The 19,112-nt window shown below is 43.2% G+C and overlaps 1 protein-coding gene across 21 annotated transcripts in view, besides 1 other annotated feature; it reads right to left on the bottom strand.

Annotated features, from left to right (window-relative positions):
• Positions 1-19,112, bottom strand: part of FYN (FYN proto-oncogene, Src family tyrosine kinase) — a 213,121-nt gene that overhangs the window by 46,177 nt on the left and 147,832 nt on the right. For 18 of the 21 annotated variants that reach the window (XM_047418569.1, XM_047418561.1, XM_005266892.5 and 15 more), the window contains 3 exons: positions 13,297-13,554; positions 7,839-7,935; positions 1,414-1,512 (listed from right to left, as the gene is read on the bottom strand). In XM_047418569.1, the coding sequence (XP_047274525.1) occupies positions 1,414-1,512; positions 7,839-7,935; positions 13,297-13,543 (443 nt within the window). In that variant the 5' untranslated portion in view covers positions 13,544-13,554. Of the gene's footprint in view, positions 1-1,413; positions 1,513-2,438; positions 2,549-7,838; positions 7,936-13,296; positions 13,555-13,647; positions 13,904-19,112 lie in introns of those variants that run through there. The other 3 variants (XM_047418571.1, XM_047418565.1, XM_047418573.1) reach the window with 2 other exon arrangements.
• Positions 3,722-3,851: an enhancer, noted in NCBI's record as "active region_24951". NCBI's record gives its function as "activates an Ori minimal core promoter by ATAC-STARR-seq in GM12878 lymphoblastoid cells {active_cell/tissue: GM12878}" and the evidence as "EXISTENCE:reporter gene assay evidence [ECO:0000049][PMID:35858748]".

Consider the following 19,112-nt stretch of genomic DNA (forward strand, 5'->3'; position numbering starts at 1 on the left):
GTACGTCAATTATTTGTGAGAAATGGCTTTCTGGGTTTGTACCAATAACCCAATTAGAATGCCGTGTAAAACAGTGGTGAAAAAGGAATTGTTAGAACAATGGATTGCACCAAAACAATAGTATTTTAAGATAATGATAGTTAATTGCATATGTAAAACCGAAGGCATTATTTTAAAAAATAATATTCTTTAAAAACAAAATATTTAAAAAGTTGACCATTATAAAAATAACTTAAATATATAGCTGACAAATTCCCAGTTAAATCAGGGTAATGCTACATTTTGGTGGTACTTTTTATTCTGAAAGAACACAAAGATGTTTGCAAATCTGCCCTAAAATACAAATTAAATACAAATACCTTGATTCACTGATGACGAAACACAGTCACTAGGAGAAAGAAACAACTAAGAACCACTGAGTATTTGAGAGTGGGAAACAAAACAGATCCTCTTAGAGGAAATACAAAGGAATTAAAGAATAGAACAATCCAACTGGGGATTTGGCTAGGGTGTGGAGTCTAATCCCTCTTGCACTACTTAAACAAATCCATGGTGAAATTAAATAGCAGAGCCAAAGGTTGGGCTTGGTGACTGACTTTTCTCAACTTCCTTTTTAGAGAGGCAAGACCCAAGGTGTCAGGAGGAGGCCAAGTTCCTGCATTTGGGAAATCATGGCTCCATCTCTCCTTCCCTCAGGGCTGGCAAACAGCCACTGGCAGTTCTTCCCCTTGGGAGTGCCTGTTAATCCTCATGGGTCAGAAGAAGGGAGAAAGGTTATCCCTTTTAGATCCCTTCAGCCTACTGAACACCTTCCTAAACTGCTACCAGTTGAATAGTTGGGCCAAATAACTGCTCGTCACTGTTTACTACCAAAGAAGCCAACTGAGGTTCCAAATCACTGTAGTATTTCCCAAGTTGGGGGGACACACTGTATGTGAGTCACTTTTACCGGGCATAGAAGGTGTCTTTTCAGCACTCTTTTAATATTTCTGATCACACTTAGGAGAAAAATCTTAGTTTAATCTGTGGCAATTACTTGCTACTCTCCCCTCTCTTCCCAACAGAGGGAGTGGACTGCGGGCTTAGAAACTTGGGTTGGCAATAATATATGCTCTAGCTAGCATTTCATATTTTTATGGCTACTTTTAATCTATGACAAGTTTTACTGGCTTTTCATTTAGGGTATTGATAGAAAGTTTTCTTTCAAAATAAGTGAGCAGGCTTCAAGAGAAACATTAAGTTAATAATAGTGCAAGTATTACACAGGGTAAAAACCGGGGCAGAAAGCCTGAAAAACTCAGCCTTAATCACTGCTGTGAATTTCTTCTCCCTCCTGCCCAATGCTGATGGCATTTTATTGCGGCAATCAACTTTTAAAATCAAGTAGTTAAGTGAAAACAAAATGAAACATACTCTTCTGCCTGGATAGAGTCAACTGGAGCCACATAATTGCTGGGAATGTAACCTGTCTCTCCAGTTGTCAAGGAGCGGGCTTCCCACCAATCTCCTTCCCTGTAAATAAAAAAGAAAAGTAAATATGTTGACCATTTCAACAGCTTGCAGTTAGAGACTCACTGTGGTCTGAAGTGTATAACTGTCACCTAATCATCCTGCCACCCGATTTCTCCAACCTATTCCTTTACTCTGAACTCCAACATAGTCCCCCTGTGAAGGTCAGAAGGTTCCAGTTCGAGTCAGCCATGAGATGAACCCACAGTTGTCTCTTGCCTTATTTGTGAATTAAGAATGTGGAATCCTGGCCATGAGAAGTCTCTCTTGGTAGGGGGCATTTTGCTTGGTTAGTGTCCTTAACTTGGATGGATGGAAAAGGAATCCAGCCTCAGCCTAATTAAGCAGAACATGTTAGCTGCAGATCATCTGGGAAGGGAAGCTTTTTAGGAGGTCTGAGGTCAATATGAGCTGCACAGTACTGCTTCCCTATTGTAAGCACCCCTCTCTTTCAAGTTCAAATCATGACATTAGAAATGTTAACATCTTAACATTGGGAGGTTAGGAGGTCTGATGAGGGATGAAGGCATGCTCTAAACACGTGCCTGGCTTGCTCTCAAAAAGATGGGGAGACACCTCTCTGCAGGTAGAATGATGCTACAGTAGGATCACCTTCCCCAGGCATTTTCAGTCTGAAGTGATTCCATCAAATGTCCAGAGCACTGGCCTGAGGCTCATGGGCAAGGGGTGAGGATGGGAATGGCTGCGTGTGCTCGCACAGGTGAAGCACAGAAACTCGGCAAGGGAGTGAGATTTTTAGTCACGCCACTTTGTACTGCCTTAGGCTCCATGCCACAGCACAGCAGTGTGGTATCAATCTGGGGAGCTCTCAGAGGAGGTGAAAGGGGATCTTGTAGCTACTCTCATCTTAAAGCCAGTGAGTACATTAAGCAGTTCAAATTCATCTGCTTAGATTCAAACAGGGCTACCTGTGATGAAGAGCAGGAATGGAGTGTGTACCTCTTCCCATTAACATCGGGGAGGCCATGGATGTGGCGCTGCGGCTCTGACATCCACTGAGTATCTGCAGAACCTTCCACCAGCCTGCAGTCAACGACATGATTGCCCTCAAGCAAATCAGACCTCCCAGCAAATCTGATCTCCTGGGGCTCAGGACCTTCTTTTCCTCCTTTTTTGGTCCTTGGAGGCAGCAAGCAAAACTTCAGGCATTTTAAAAAAAAATCGTTCTTTTGGCTGAGTTCTGTGTCAAAGCTTTCAGCCAGGGGAAAAAAAAAATGTGTTAGCTTCTGGCCATGGTAAAGATGCTCCCCAGACAGATTTAATCAGGTAGAGAATAATCAGCCTCCACATTAAACTCAAGCATTACTCCAGAGGCCGCTCTCTAAAGCTGGACTCTCTGAGCAAGGTGAGCAGTGAGCAACGCCTCCAGATAGGATTTAATAGAGCAACAGAACAAAGGTGACCAGCCAGCATGTGCTGGGGGTGCTGCTGTGGGAAAATGTTTGGTGGCATAAGTAACAGAATAGCCCACAAAAAAAACCAAGGTGCCAGCAAAGGTTTTTAAAACCTTATGCTTTAATTTAGTTTCCTAATCTCTCCTTTTTACCCTATTACAAATCCAGCAAAAGTACAGTACTCATATTCAGAAAGTTCTTTATTCATAAAATTTAGTTCATGTCTAGATTTATTCATAATCTTAAATTTAGTTCATGTCTAGATCTTTGTTAGGAAATATTTATACATACTGAAGAATATAGGTACAGTATATATGAACCCCGTGAACCCACTGCCCAACTTAAGAGCTAGATCGTTACCAACTGGGTGGGATCTGCACTGTGCTGCTCCCCTATTGTAAGCACCCCTCTCTTTGAGGTTCAAATCATGACATTAAAAATGTTAACAGTTTGTACTGGTCTCATTTCTATGCCTTCCAAAAGGAATACATACAGTTGTAAGGATATCATCTAAGAACATATGTGGAAGTTTATTTTTTTCTTTAAACACTGTATGTGTTTAAGGAAAATGGCTTTGGAGACATAATCTTCACTTTAATATAGTGACAAGGTTTACTGCTCTGAAGTTCCACTAGATGGAGACATTTCATCATTAAAAATAACAATACCCAGCTCCTCCCCCTCCACCCTCTCCCGCCCAGCCTGGGAAATGCTCCAAAATGGCGAGGAAAAAATTAAGTGCTTGTAGCAGAGGCTTATTGTTTTTTAATGCAAGATAACCTTCATCAAGTTAGTTCTAATTGAATTAAATTAAGAAAAAAATGGCTAGCATCAATTTTAGGGTATCTGAGACTGTCAATAGGGGCGGGAAGCCAATACATTTTGCTGCAGGTTGGGACAAGCCCAGCCTTATTCAGGTGATCTGGCATTAATGAAGTCATTTCCAATTCAAATCTAGCATTAACTATCTCATTTTGGTCTAGGTACCTAAATAGTGTAGCACAGATCAGAATGCAATTATCAGCTCATTCTGAAGTCATGAATCAGGAATTCATGATTTTCTCACTTGACCCTATTAATCTCACAAGGGTTTTCAGCTACTCATGAGAAAGATAAAATCCTTGATTTCTCTTTTTCTAGGCTTTCTAGGGTCATCTTCTTCATCAAAGGAGACATAAAGTGACAAAGATTCAATGTTTATTATGTAGTAAACCTCACATGTTGAGCCTAGAGAGGCTGGTACAGACTCAAAATATTCATTGAGAGCCGTTGAGCGAGTGAATTAAGTCATCTTTTTGATACACTAGAAGCACCAATTCACCTATAAATAGATATACTCTATATTCATGTTGATTTAGGAAAATAGGATCTCTACTATGTTATCTTTTATTTCTTGAGTTACTGTGGGTAATTAGCATTGTTAAAGCTGTATTTCTTTAAACGGTTCTTATAGTTCAGATTTTTCAGTTTGCACTTGGTGAGATATTCTTTGTTATCTTGCTCTAATTCAAATATATGATTTAAAGCCTGGCGCTGGTTTAGAATGGCTTTTAAGGTTTTATAACAGCTGTCTCTGTTCCTCTGATTTAAAGACTTGCTAAAAGATTCTGTGCCCCCACCACACCCCACACCAAGAAAAGTGTCTACCCCCAAACCCCAAAGTTGCTCGTAGGCTTGTGGGCCCCGGAGCTGGGAGCCCTAGAGCCTTGGAGCCAGGGAGTAGTTATTTGCCAACAGAAGTCAGCCTTGATCTGCTCAGTAGTGTAGCATTTTATGTCGGTAACAATTTTATCAAATGCTTGGGTGGGGCTCTAAACCAGGATTTCTTTTTATCACAATAGGAAAAAAAAAACAACAAACCTACCCTCAGCTGTGACCAATACTCCACTCTGTGTAAAACATGTATTACATTTTAAAGAGTCACTGTTCGTAGATGGTAAACGACTAGTCTTGAAATGTGAAAACAAGGAATAAAATGGATGAACTTAAATACTTTGCAAAAGGGGTTCAAATTTAATAATGTCCTAATACATGACACTGAGCACTTACAACGGGTCAATGAAGCACCTTTGCCCCTTGCTGGGTAGCAGGAACACCGCCTCTGGGTACATACATACATGCACATCCCACGGTGTATGTTGTACTTTAACAAAGCCAGCCCTGTGGCCTCCAGCGCCACCAGGGCTCCACCAGGGAAGGGAGTGGGAGGACACACACTAGGAGGTGTGGCAGCTGCCCTGGCAGAACAGAGCCCCATTCCTCCCTCTCCTCTGAGGACCAGAGCCAGAGGCGGGAGAGGATGGGGGAGGGGAGGAGCCGTGTGCCATCTGCTTCTGTATTATTGCTTTGTTTTTCCTTCACGATTTTCTCTTCCCTGTTATTACCCTTGACTTCAGGATATTGTCTTGTTACACAAACCTTATTTTTCTTTTCTATAACCTTGAGAAAGGGAATTTTAAAATTCCACTGATATGGAATTCCATTGGCAGAAAGGAAGAACATTAAGAGGAAGAGAACCTTTGTAATATTTTCCTCTACAAGAACAGGGTTGGAGGCTCAAAGGACTCCGTAAACATCAAAGGCCGTGCATGGAAGTCACAAAATAGAGATTGAGACGGATTGGATCCTCCTTAAGTGTTTCTCTAAAATTTCAATTTGGTGACACTGCAGATCGTTTCCAGATTAACAAAGGAAGAAGCCATGGGACTGACACTGGCAGGGACTGACTTTCCAACGCCCTCCAGCGTAATGCACAGACGCACGTGCAGTGTGGACAAAGCCTCCTGAGAGCTGGGTCTGCACTCTTACTATTCCTTGGTTCTTGCAGTTGAAAGTTTACAAATAGTCTTGAAATTTCTAATCAACCTTGGCATGTAGGGGAGGCTAAGGGGCGGAGGATTTCAGAATTCAAAGTTAATGGACTCCAACAAGCAGCAAAATAACAGCAAGGAGGTATACCCAGAGAGATCAAAGCCCAATCCCCTCCTCCCCAGCCCCAGTCAACTCTCCAAAGCTTCCTGTCACTTGAAGGTTCCCATCCCCTTTGATAAAGTATCTGGGCCTTTCCCAGATCAAACCTGACACTGTTCTCAGGATGCCTCCCTGCACCTCGCCCTGGGCTCTGCCACCTGCCAGCTCTGTGCTCTGGGGCAGTTTCCTAATCTGGGCCTCTGGCTCCTCAGATATCAAACGATGACGTCGATGCATACCTCAGACAGTAGTGGAAGAATGCATGAGAATGTTTGTAACTTAGCTCATGGCTGGTACATCAGGAGCCTTCAATGAATGGTAGCTGTTTATTATTTTTTAAAAACTTCCTGTGGCTACAGGAGGAGGACTCCTGGGGGGCAGGTAACACTCTTCTTGACCTGGCTGGTGGCCACACAGGCATGTTCAGCTTGTGAAAATTCAGCAAACTGTATACTTTTTGAAAATTGTGGTAAAATATAGGCAACATAAAATTTATCATTTTAATCATTTTTAAGTGTACAGTTGAGCGGCAGTAAGTACGTTCACACTGTTGTGCAACATCACTGTGTACACTTTTGATACGTGCACTTTTCTGCATGTGTTCCAACAAAAAGTTAAAAAAACACCACCCCACACCTTTGTTAATGATGACAATCCTAATATATGTTTGAAAACCCTGTGGCTATGTAGACTGTGCCTTCTGATGTCTCGAAGAGAGTCGTTGGCCCTTTATGGCAGTATTCAGTTCTTGCTGTTGAAAGGCGGCATATTCTCACTGCATGGTTCTGTGAGCCAGGGGGCATTCAAGAAAAGGGTGGGCTTTCCAAGGAGGCAGTTTTCAGGCCTGAAGGAGGTCCCTGTGGCAATCAGCACTCCTCTTTCCTGGGATGTGCAGTGTGACCAGGGCTGCCTCTTACTCCCTCTGGCATATCCTTCTGGGAAAGCTGAGGAGCCTGGCTCCAAGTCCTTCTGCCAACATGGAATCTGATTTGCTCAGAGAGCAGAGGAGAAGCAACCAGACTTGGTGGCATAGAAGAACTTCCTGGTGTGCCCCTCAGCCCCTGGGTGGCATTCTTTCCCAACCACCGGGAGCACTCATAGGGACGCTGGAGATGCCTGGCTTGCTGATGTGGAACCCCACCCCCCCACACTTTCTTCAGAACCTAGATTTTTTTCTGAAGGGCCTCATCCACATACACTGCCTCAATCTAATAGAGGCAGTATTTATAAACCCTAAGAAAATCTGACCCGTGTTTACTCTTCTTATGGAGGTACTGAATGTAGGATTTGAAAAGTGAGTGATCCTCACTCTTGAAATCTCCCCACTGCTTGTTTAACTGTTGTTCCTCCTGGCCAACATTAAACAACCATGCAGCATATTCATTCAAGAGTGGGTAAAATCACTTCTTCTAGCTCCAAAAGATTCCAGTCACTCCCAAATTTTTGTTATAGGGAAACGCCTCCACAGGCTTCACCAAAGAAATGTTTAGCAGTTTATAAAATAAAGAACTTGTTGCAAGCCTCAAGTGAGGGCTTAGCTAGTGTAACATCTGAAATGTGAAGAAAATCTCAAGGCAGAGAGCACGAAACGTGGGTAGCCAAGGCTTGTGCCAATCACTTGAAACTGTAGGTTTGTAGAAACACTCAGGGCTGTGGAGAGCGATGCTGGTGATTTTACAACCTTTAAACCTAAACCAAAACCAATAAACATGGACTGTGCTAGTATTTTTGGTACTCTCCAAAAATCTCCTTGGACACACAGTGCCATAAAATACTGCACTGTGTCACTGACTCTTCTTTTTCTCAAAGTATATTGTTGTAAACCAGTGAATTTAGCAAATGTTCTTTTAGCATTTCAGACATCTGAAGAGATGCAGACCAGAAATGCAAGACCCCTTCCCAACCTGAAAGGTATACATGCTTCTCCTCCCTCTCCAAACTTACGAGCTGTTCAATATTTGAAATTTTTCTCCTTTGTGAAAACTCAGGTCATCTTCTGTCCGTGCTTCATAGTCATAAAGGGCCACAAAGAGTGTCACTCCTGCCGAAACGAAATTCACAAGAAGGGAGATTATTACACAAGGGGAAATTAATTCCAAGAAATTAAATCTTCACTAAAATCTCATTCTCACAATCTACATCTAGCCAGCACTAATAACATGATGAAGTGTTGTAATTAACGTGTCAAAACCACAGTCACAGGGCTGTGTTTATGCCTTGGTCTTTGTAGGGGAAGCCTTACTGTATCTGAAAGAAACCTAGACCTGAAGGGCTTCTTTCTGTAATAGCTTTTAATGAGGGCTGAGGAGCAGGGAAATATTAAAATTGCATCCCAAACAAAAGGGCAGCGTCAGCGTCAGGGTTCAGGTTTGCAGGGCTCTGCAGCAGTTACTGACATCCTTTGCTGGTCGTATCTTCTCCTCCACTTGGAGCCTATGTTAGTTTCTGGGTAAAATGCACCACCCTTTCTCCTGGTAAAACAGTAACATAGAACGTAATAGGAAATGCCTCCTGCAGCTTGGGGAAATTTAGAGAAGACCGTTTCTGTAATATTCACCCCAATTAGAGGATGTACTGCCCTTGGCATCTGCAGTTCATTTTGCAGTTTTGTGCTGCTCGCCCCACTGCTGAAAATGGAACCCTCTCCCTTGTCCTCCCCCTACCTTGAACTCACCTCTCCTCACACTGTCTTGTAGCACTCACTCTTCCTCACACCCACCCTATGTCCTCTCATCTGGCTCTCTAGAGAGGCCCTTCCTGGTTTACAGAAGTTTGCTAGCAGCAGCAGAGAATATCCAGTGTCATTTGGCCTAGGATTTCCTCCATATAATTAGGCATAATTCTTTTTTTTTTTTCAAATAGAGACGGGGGTCTCACTATGTTGCCCAGGCTGGTCTCGAATTCCTGGGTGCAAGTGATCCCCCTGGCTTGGCCTCCCAAAGTGCTGGGATTATAGGTGTGACCTACTGTGCCCAACCCAACAGGCATAATTCTAGCATAGTCCCCAGTGACTCCTGCCTCCTAGTATTCAGTCTCGTGCAAGCCCCTCCCCTTGAGTGTGGGCTGGATCTAACGACTTGCTTCTACTCAACAGAATGTGCAGTCCCTTAAGTGACTAGGCTTCAAAAGATGGTGACTTCCGTCTTTCTAGCAGACTCTCTCTATTGCCACTTCAGCTTGTGTACTTTGATGAAGCAAGGCGCCATGCTGGTGAGGCCCATGTGACCAAGAACTGAGGGTGGCCTCTGGCCAACAGCCAGCGAGGCACCGAATCCTGCCAGCACTACATGAGTTTGGAAGCAGATCATTCTCAGCTAAACTGTGAGATGACTATAGCCCAGCCAACGTACCTTGATTACAGCCTGTGAGAGATTCTGAAGGACCGAACTGACCATTCGCAGATTCCTGACCCACAGAAACTGTAAATTTAGGTTTTATAATTTTAATTGATGTATGGACACACATAAACAAAAAAGCATGAAGGAAGATTTGGATCCAAGCGGTGCCACACTTTATGTCATCACTACAAGTGTTCAAGTGTAAAGAAAACCAGTTTTGAAACTATGAAATTCCTGATTCATAAATACACAGTTATTTCTATTTTAGTACATATAAGATAATACACTGTTATTAAAGCTCTTTTATTAAGGCAATTGCATATGTCTTAAAAGCAATGGTAAATTAAGTTGCCTTCCAAAACTGTGTACTTGTCTGGTCAGCTGTGTATGATCAGTTATCTACCTCAGAGTCTATTTTCTTTTGTGCTGGGACAGGTTGCTGGCCCTCCCTGTTTCCACAGCCCAAATCCTCCTAGCTCAGAAGCTAGGGCTAAGCAGTTATTTCTTTTGAGTATTTTTTAGTTCTTACATTTTATGCTTGTATTTGATGATAAATGTCAGTGACATTTCATAGTTTCCAAAGTCCTGGCTGCTCTGAGAAGTGTAGATTCTAGTGAAAATTACATAGTCATAAGATAAATTTGTTTTTGTTTTATTTTTTAAAAGTCACGGTATCACTGGTTCTATGCTCCCTGGAATATTACTGCTTTGTGAAAGCCCAGGCTGAACGCAGCACCCTCTGTGTACCTAGTACAGTTATAAACCTGGGTCTCCCACTAGTTGATACTTCTGCATTAGTTAAGGCAGAAATTTGATAGTTTGGTTAGAGGGGAGGGGAAATCTGTTGCCAGAAATGTCTAACTAAGTGCCATACTCGTCTGGGTAAGATTTGGGAAACATAACCTCTGTATATTAAAAAAAAAATTAGTTAAACATCATATAGTAGATAGCCATTAAATTATAAAAAAAATTATGAAGAAAGATCTTTTGTACCCGATTGAAAAAAAGAGATATAGAGATATCTATATGATCAAGAGAGTTAATTTTTTTTTTTTTTTTTTGAGATGGAGTTTCACTCTTGTCGCCCAGGCTGGAGTGCAGTGGCATAATCTCAGCTCACTGCAACCTCCGCCTCCCGGGTTCAAGTGATTCTCCTGCCTCAGCCTCCCGAGTAGCTGAGATTACAGGTGCCTGCCACCATGCCCAGCTAATTTTTTGTATTTTTAGTAGAGACGGGGTTTCACCATGTTGGGCAGGCTGGTCTTGAACTCCTGACATCGTGATCTGCCTGCCTCAGCCTCCCAAAGTGCTGGGATTACAGGTGTAAGCCACTGCGCCTGGCCGAGATTTAATTTTTTATTTTTGTTTTACTAGTGCCACAGACTTGCCAGTGGTAACTTATTTACCCCATTCAAGATAACTCTGTAGTTTTCTTTCCTAGGACTTGTTGTTAAACGTCAAAAGACATTTTTGAGCTGTATGTTTGATCAGACTGTTAGCTTTTCTGTTTTATTTCTTTTAAGAACCTCTGAATAAAAAACATCTGAAATTGAAAAAAAAAAGAAATTAAATGTGTTTTGTTTTAAGCTGCTAAGTTTTGTGGCAATTTGTTATACAGCAGTTGATAACTAATAGTAGTTCCCTGCAGTCTGCCTTTTCATTCTGGTCTCTCTGCACTTCAGAGTGCCTGCTATGACCTACAGAAATGACAGGGAGCCCACTTTTTTTTTTTTCTTTTGAGATGGAGATTCACTCTTGTTGCCCAAGCTGGAGTGCAATGGCGTGATCTCGGCTCACTGCAGCCTCCGCCTCCCGGGTTTAAGCACTTCTCCTGCCTCAGCCTCCCGAGTAGCTGGGATTACAGGCGCCCACCACCACGCCTGGCTAATTTTTTGTATTTTTTAGTAGAGACGGGGTTTCGCCATGTTGGCCAGGATGGTCTCAAACTCCTGCGCTCAAGTGATCCACCCACCTCAGCCTTCCAAAGTGCTGGGATTACAGGCATGAGCTACTGCACCCGGCCAGAGTCCACCTTTTTTACCAAGCTGCCAATTTGCTGTGTAGGTAGTTCCAAGGGAAGAAATGTGTCATGGCACTATTCAAGGACCACAGAGAAGAGTGGGGCTTGTCTTTCTGCCCCATCCCAAGTGGGACTTTCCTCAGGAGAGTTAGCATTCAGAGGTCTGACCATGCAAAGCTAGGCTCATTTGGCAACTTTCCTTCTTTCCTTAGATTTCTTTGAAAGGTAAGAAAAGAGATTGGCTTAAAACAAAAATGTGGGTGCCCGTAAGGTCATGCCTATTCTTATTTAACACTCCATGACCAGATTCCCTTCTTTAAAAACAATTTAAAAATGAAGCCAAGCCAGCCCCACTGTGTGGAAGGCAAGGCACATGAAGACCAGCACCCCACTCTCTCCTTGCATCAGCTGACAAGTTCTCACTGAGGGCTTTTATGTTCCATGTTCCAGGAGCTGAGGGGAGAATCAAAGGAGGTTACAGAGAAACACAGACGTTGTTCTTGGCCTTACAGGACTGAAGGCAGTATTGGGAGAAAGGACATGCATATATATTAAAACCAAATAACTCAAGGCAGAAAAATCTGCCAACATTTGGGAGTACTGTGTTTTAACTTTCAAATTTTATAAGGGATCAGGTAGCCTCTTAAACAAAGACTCCTCCTGACTACGGTGGAGACCCACATGCTCAACACAAGTGGCCCTCTCTAGTGACTTTAATGAATGATACCTGCAGACCCAGGGGTCCATATCCAGCACTCGTGAATGAATGAACAAGGACAATGGCTGTGTCAGTAGAATTAACAGTCTGGGCTGGCAAAGCCCTTATGCTTCTCACGGTAGGCACAAGGATGGGGGTTGTGTTTGCCTCTTTTTTTCTCCTGCATCATCAGAAGACAGATGGCCTTAGACTGCCTGTCTGTGTCTCTTCAGGCACCTTTGGGAAGGTGGGAAGGATGGGTAAAGGTACTTAGCACGTATTCAACCCATGCAAGGCCTGGGTTAAAAGGAAAGCTAGAGTCACCACAGCATGAGGGTGAACATAAATACTTCTTCTACTGGGCAGAGTGTGCTATGCTAGCAGAAGAGAAGTAGATAATGTCCAAAGGCTCAGGGTCAGGCTCCTTGATACAACTACACTGATGTGTGATGTGTGTTGGGTGCAGAGGGAAAAAAAACTTGCTAATGCCTTAGTAGTGCCTCCTCCCTAGGTGAAAAGGTACCTGCTGCCAGATGGGCTGAGAGATACTGGATTCTTTCAAACTTTTATATAAGACATCTGCTGCCAGATGAACTGAGAGATGCTGCATTCTTTCAAACTTTTGCAATAAACAAAATAATTCTGGAACAAATAATGTGAAATATCTAGTTACCATGGTTCACATACTCAGAGAAAATTTGGATGACTAGGGATGCATGACATAACTTACAAATATTTCGGAAAACATATGTCTGAGAACGTACGCCAGATATTTTACAAAGTATTAGCTAAGTCAGCAAATACACATGGCAGCAGAATATAGCCTTGTGGTATGAAAGACAAGGAAACTTCCAAAAAAAAAAAAAAAAGAAAGGCAGGCTGAGGATTAGGAAGAAGTGAGTGGGAAGAGGGAGTACATTAATATCTAGAGAACTCAAAATACACACACCCAGACCCAGTCCTGGAGCCTCTAATTCAAAAGACTGGGACATGGCTCAGGCATCCGTGTTTTGAAAAGGCTGCCCTAGTTCTTCTGTGCCAACCAGCCAGGTGAGGCTGAGAGTCATTGACCTACAGTGCCTCAGTAGAATGTTGTAGCTCACTAACCCATATAGAATCCTCAGAAAGCAGCAACTTGGGGCACCTTGCAACCCTGTAGCCAAGCATTTTGTTTGTACATCAAACTCTGGCTTTTCTTACAACCCCTCATCTAGTAGAGGAGACAGATTAGAAACTTACATGTGAAACCCCTAGTCAAAGGGAAGTGATGGGAACCCAGATGTTCAATTGCCAAAAGATTTAAGGGTGGCTGCCCCCTCTCTGCACTCTGTGACTTTGGGGGCTTACCTGTTCCTCCTCTCGTACGCAAGGTCCCCGTATGAGACGAAGAGTTCACACCTCCAAAGACGGTGAGTCCTTGGCCCCCGGCTGCGTGGAAGTTGTTGTAGTTGGGGATGGAGGTCACACCGAAGCTGGGGTAGTGCTGAGGGGTGGGGTCTGTGCCATAGCGGTACCCAGAGCTCTGGTTCAGGCTGCCGTCCCTCTCCTCCGTCAGTTTTGTTGCTTCTTTATCCTTACATTGCACACAGCCCATTATCTAAATTCCTGCCAAAGACAAAAAAGGGGGCACGTAAGCTGGGATGCTCCCTAGTTGCTGGGTTGCTCTACAGTAAACGAGGAGTAATTGACAAGGCTCACTGTTGGCTATTTCAGGCCTATTAGGGGGCATGAGGAAAGGCAGTGGCTGGGGAGATGGTTAGGAGGAAGTTCAGTTCCTTGACCCCACAATCGCATTTGTTCCCCATATGTTCTGGATGACAGCATCATCACGGAGCACAATGTTCACCATGCAGCAACTTTCCTCGAATAAGGCCTGTATCTCGTAAAATTCTGTAACAGCATACACCTGCCTACAGACGGTCCAATCATATTTACCAATTCTGCCTTTAGCCATCTAAAAAAAATAATACATGCTCTGTAGAATGAGTCTATGCAACATTAGAATAAAAACTTCCATCAGGGCACAGGAAATTTAAGGAAGAGGGCACAGGAGTGTTGGATAAGCCAGAATACAACCTTCAATCAAGTCACTAGACTGCTTCACTCATGGGTACCACATCTTCAGGCACAAAACTGGTCAATTTTAAGCACTAAGATGATGCTAAGTATCAAAACTAAGAACTAGTTACTGGATGAAAAATAAAATCGGCAGAACCTAAGAGGTCAGAGTATATTTGCAGGATGTCATGATAGTCTACAGTAATGAAATCACTTAAAGCTGCTAATTAACTTTTCAAATTTCCATTAGCTTTTGACATCCTTCAAAAACATTAAAAAAAAATCATTCCCATGTTACAGAGTTAGTGGCGGATTAAAAACTCGAGTTGTTGCCACCCCACCCTCCTCAAACCCTCTTCTCCCAGGCTCCTCATCTAAGTAAATGGGACCACCAGTGTCCCAGTTGCTCCAGTCAGCATCCTGAGAAGCATCCTCATTTCCTCCTCCTTGTTTACTTCCCACTCTTCCTGTCTCGGCTCTCCTATTCAAACACGCCCAACTTCTCAGATCCTCAAAGACTCCATTCCCCCACCCGCTTCGGGCCTTGGAACATAACCTTGAACACTTTTTCCCCTTCCTCTTTGATATGTGACGTATCCATGTCCTAGTTAATAAGGCACCGCTTCCTCTGCAAGGCGTTCTCCGACTGCCCTGCCCTTCCAGGCTGGGTTGTGCTTTCTGAAGTGCTCCCATGGCATCCTCATCTCCCTCCTTCTGGCACCCTTGGCGCCATATTAAAACAGGGCCTGTTTATTTGTCTCATTGCCCAATGGACTGCAAGTTCCAGGAAAGCGGGACCCTGTCTGTTTTCATCACAGCTACATTGCCAGTGCCTGGAACAATAAATAGCAACCAGATGAGTGAAGATTCTGTAGCCTATTATGTTTCTCTTTTACCCTCTCTGTATTAAAGCCGATCCCTCCTGTGACTTTGAGATGGAGTCTCACTCTGTTGCCCAGGCTGGAGTGCAGTGGAGCGATCTTGGCTCACTACAACCTCTGCCTCAGCCTCACAAGTAGCTGGGATTACAGGTGCCTGCCACCACACCCAGCTAATTTTTTGTATTTTTAGTAGAGATGGGGTTTCACCATGTTGGTCAGGCTGGTCTTGAACTCCTGACCTCAGGTGATCCGCCCGCCTCGGCCTCCCAAAGTACTGGCATTACAGGCGTGAACCACCGTGACAGGCCCCTCCTGTGACTTTTATCAGCAGTGTACCTTGCATTTTAAAATCTACTGGTATGTGTGTGAGAAGTGAAGAAGATTCAGAAATACAAGTTGGTTAAATGGTCCCCCTTTGGACTTGCAATACCCCAACAAGCCAACAGGGGTCAGGTAGAACAGGCCAGTGGAGGTCCCTGCCAAAACCGCAAACTAGCCCATTTGGGACCAAAGAATCACATAAGAAACACATGCCATCATGTGTAATAACATTTATTCACTGGGGAGGGCACAGCTGGCACAGGATGGGAAGGGCTTGAGGCAGCAAAGGAGAAGGCATGCTTTTCTATACTATCTTGCAAACCAATGCAGGAGGTGCCATATCAGAAGAGTGCTCCCTGGGCACTCTTCTGAGCACTGCTTTTCTGCTGGACTGGGTGATGGGAGCAGTATCAGACTGTTCTAAAGCTCTCTCATATTACACATTTCAATAAATACTTATTGAATTGAATGTCAGTTCTTGAGAATGAAAATGTTTGGAAAAGAGACGCCTACTGCTTGAGCTGAGCTCACCAAATCTGGAACACATTTACTCCTAAATCATTTGAGATTAACTTACAGTATACCGTGCCCAACATGCTTTGTAACTTATGGTAAATGGATATGATTTTAACAAGTTTCCAATAGGAAATGCAAGCTATTTCCAAGGCATGATGTACTAAAGGAATTTCATCATTTGTTGTTGATGTTGCTTCATCAGACTGATAACTTGCTCATATAATATTAACTCTTTCGTGGTGGAAAGTTGCTCCACATTTCTGCAAAGACCAGACAGAAAACACTTCTTGTCCCAGATGTTTTTTCTTTTTTTCCATGAATTTCACTGATCTACTGTAATTAGAGAATGTGAGACCTGAATCACAGACTCATATCACTTACAGCAGTGGTTCTCAGCTGGGGGTAACTTTACCACTCCCCTGCAAGAGACATATTGGGCAATGTCTGGAGACATTTTGGGTTGTCACACTCAGAGGGGAGGGATACTCCTGATACCTACTGGGTAGAGGCCAAGAATGCTGCTAAAACTTCCTGCAATGCACAGGACAGCCTCCTACAAACAAGAGTTACCTGGCCCCAAATGTTAATAGTGTCAAGGTCAAGAAATCCTGATTTACACGAAGGAAAGAATTTATATCTACATCTTTGAAGCAGTTTAACAGCTGTTTCCCTTACATGGATGTGATTAACATGCAACCCATCATGCTTTCTTCAGGCGAACAGGCATGTTAGGTAGAAGCAGGCAGTTTTAAAGAGTGACATGAAGTGCTCTGATTTTCTCTAGAAGCTTGTGCACTGTGATAGAGAAACAGAACCTGGAAGTAATGAGAACACTCATTGCAAACCACTCTTCCAACTCCAGCAAAACAAAATAAGCCCCATATAAGAACCCTGAAGAAAACAGGATCCTACATTTAACCAAACTAAGAAAAAATAATCTTTCAAAATCCACTTTAAAAAAGAAATATACTATAATAAGCAACTAGCAGCTTATCTATAATTTTATGAAGTAATAGAGAAGAAAAATCATCAGCTCCTTGAAGGCAGGAATTTTTGTTTTTTTTTAACTGCTGCATCTTGCGTGGCCAGAACAGTGCCTGGCACACAGTAGTCACTCAATAAATATTAGTTAAATAAATAAATTAAAAATAATCAAAATCATTTTGGAGAAAACAATCCTCTTTTATAGAAGAGACAGCACCATCACCACTTCACGCATTTGACATTCTGAGTTAAGTAATGTTTCTATACAGATCTTGCTTACTCTTTTCTCTTCAATGACACATAGGAAGAAGTGAAAATAAATCAGTAAATGCAGTTTCAAGTCATTAAAAGTTAATCACAATGAAAATATTTATGTAGGAACTTGTGGTCTTCTTTCTCCCCCGTGGGGCAGTCAGACTAACTGCTTCGTGACAGAAGAGTCAGAAGACGCTACATGAGCTGTATTCAGTGTGCCCAGGCTCCTTGCTACAAGGCAAACTTTTGATCATTCATGCTAAAATAAAAGTATCCTTTATTATGCAGAGTTATGTGCTGTGGCTTTAATGTCCAATGCTGTAAGTGCATCGTGACATAGAATGTACTAATTCACTTGCTATAGATCTCTGGGGCACCGGGAAACACTGAATGATGCCATCGTGAATGTGGAGCCCTGGAGTTACTCTGATCAGGAAAATACCACATGCCATGAACTCATGGCTATAGTCTTCTGCAAGTTATCATGCCTAGAAAAACTGGTGAAGGGCATTTTCACCAATTGGATCCTGTGCCTGTGATCAAGGTGTCTGGATTACAGCTGTGAAGCCTCTATTCTCCAATCCTTTTGCAAAGGGAGGGGCCCTTTTTCTACTAAGCAAATAAAACTTGATCTATTTAAAATTTCCCTAGTCCTGTGGTTCTTTACAGATGTGCCAATAGTGTTAAGCAACCTGGGAAGAATTGCCGGACACAGGATTCAAGGAACGCCGCACCCTGCTCCCATAAGCAGGGCAGACATTATCAACAGATCACAGCCCTTTCTGCTGCCATGCTATGGGAGATATGCTTCTCCACATAGCCCTGTAGTGATTGACGGAAACTGACCTAAAGGATAGATTCAATCCTTTACTACCACAGGCACAGGGTGCTTCGATCCAAGATGAGTCTGGTTGAACATACACTCCCTCCTCCTGATGTAGACAGACCACAGTCCAGTCTACAAGATGCACATTAAACACAGACACATTCATATTTCGTCATGTGCCAATCAATAAAGCAATGCCAGTAAGCCCAAGTTATAAGCTTGCAGGACGTGTGATAAGATTTCAGGTGTGTGCAGGAGCTAGGTACCAAAATGGGAAAAAGGCCACTGGCAGTCTTCTGCACAAGCAAATTACTTTCTCTTGAGACACATACACTTGCAGGCAGAGGAGGAATGGCAGGAAGAGGAAGTGAAACCGACAACAAATAACTTTAATTTCAGGGGTGTATGCTCTTTTGTCTCAGAAGCCAACCTAGGTGGGTGTGAAGAAGTGACAGCCCTTAGGCATAATCCCTGCTTCTGACAGCCTCCAGCAGACTTTGGAGAGTGACAGGTAAAGCCACATTTGGCCCGTACTTAGAGGTGGCATGTTTCCTGGTATCATAATGGAAGTATAAGAACAAGGAAGGGAACTGAACTAAGAACCTAGAAACCAAATGCAAGCAACTGAGATGGGGGCAGTTGAAAAAAGAATTTAAAGCTGAACTGCAGATCAACTGCATGGTTTCACACTTTTCTCGGAAAAAAGCAAAAACTGGAAGCTTATCAAGCAAACACACTTTTTCAGTCAGCAGGAATAGCATTAGGAAAAGGATAAGATGTGGCAGAGACACATCTGAAATTATTTGACTTCAGGATAGAAGATTCATGGCAGAGGGCTCTTGATCCTCGCAAAATTAGAAACACCCATAAGAATCTACTTGGGGACTTTTGCTACATTCTCAGTGGAGAGAGTTAATCCATTGAAAGCCTAGGAAAGCCTTCTTTAGTTTTCCCCTGTCATTACTGGGAGCAGAAGGACATTCAGAGACAGTTGAGTACCACATCAGCAGCAATGAGGTTGGGCCACAGAAACTGTCACCCAAATTTCCTAATTTCCCAGCACCTTTCAATCCTTTACAATGGGGCTTTTCTCCTCTGTAGCATACTGCATCAGATGATCCTGACACCCCATGAGAGAGTGCAGGCAGTGCTGCCTTCTGGGGACAGACGGGACAGAAGGGCCAGGGAGGACTGGGGAGGCTGGACAGAAAGCAGGGCTATGCTGGCCACTCTTGGGATCACAAGCATTTCCCAAGGTACTGAAGCAGAGAAAAAGTCACTGCTGGGTTGGCCCTCTGGAGATGTTAATACTTGAGGGATGA

The sequence above is a fragment of the Homo sapiens genome, chromosome 6 (genome assembly GCF_000001405.40).
Source record: "Homo sapiens chromosome 6, GRCh38.p14 Primary Assembly".
NCBI classification, from domain to species: Eukaryota; Metazoa; Chordata; class Mammalia; order Primates; family Hominidae; genus Homo; species Homo sapiens.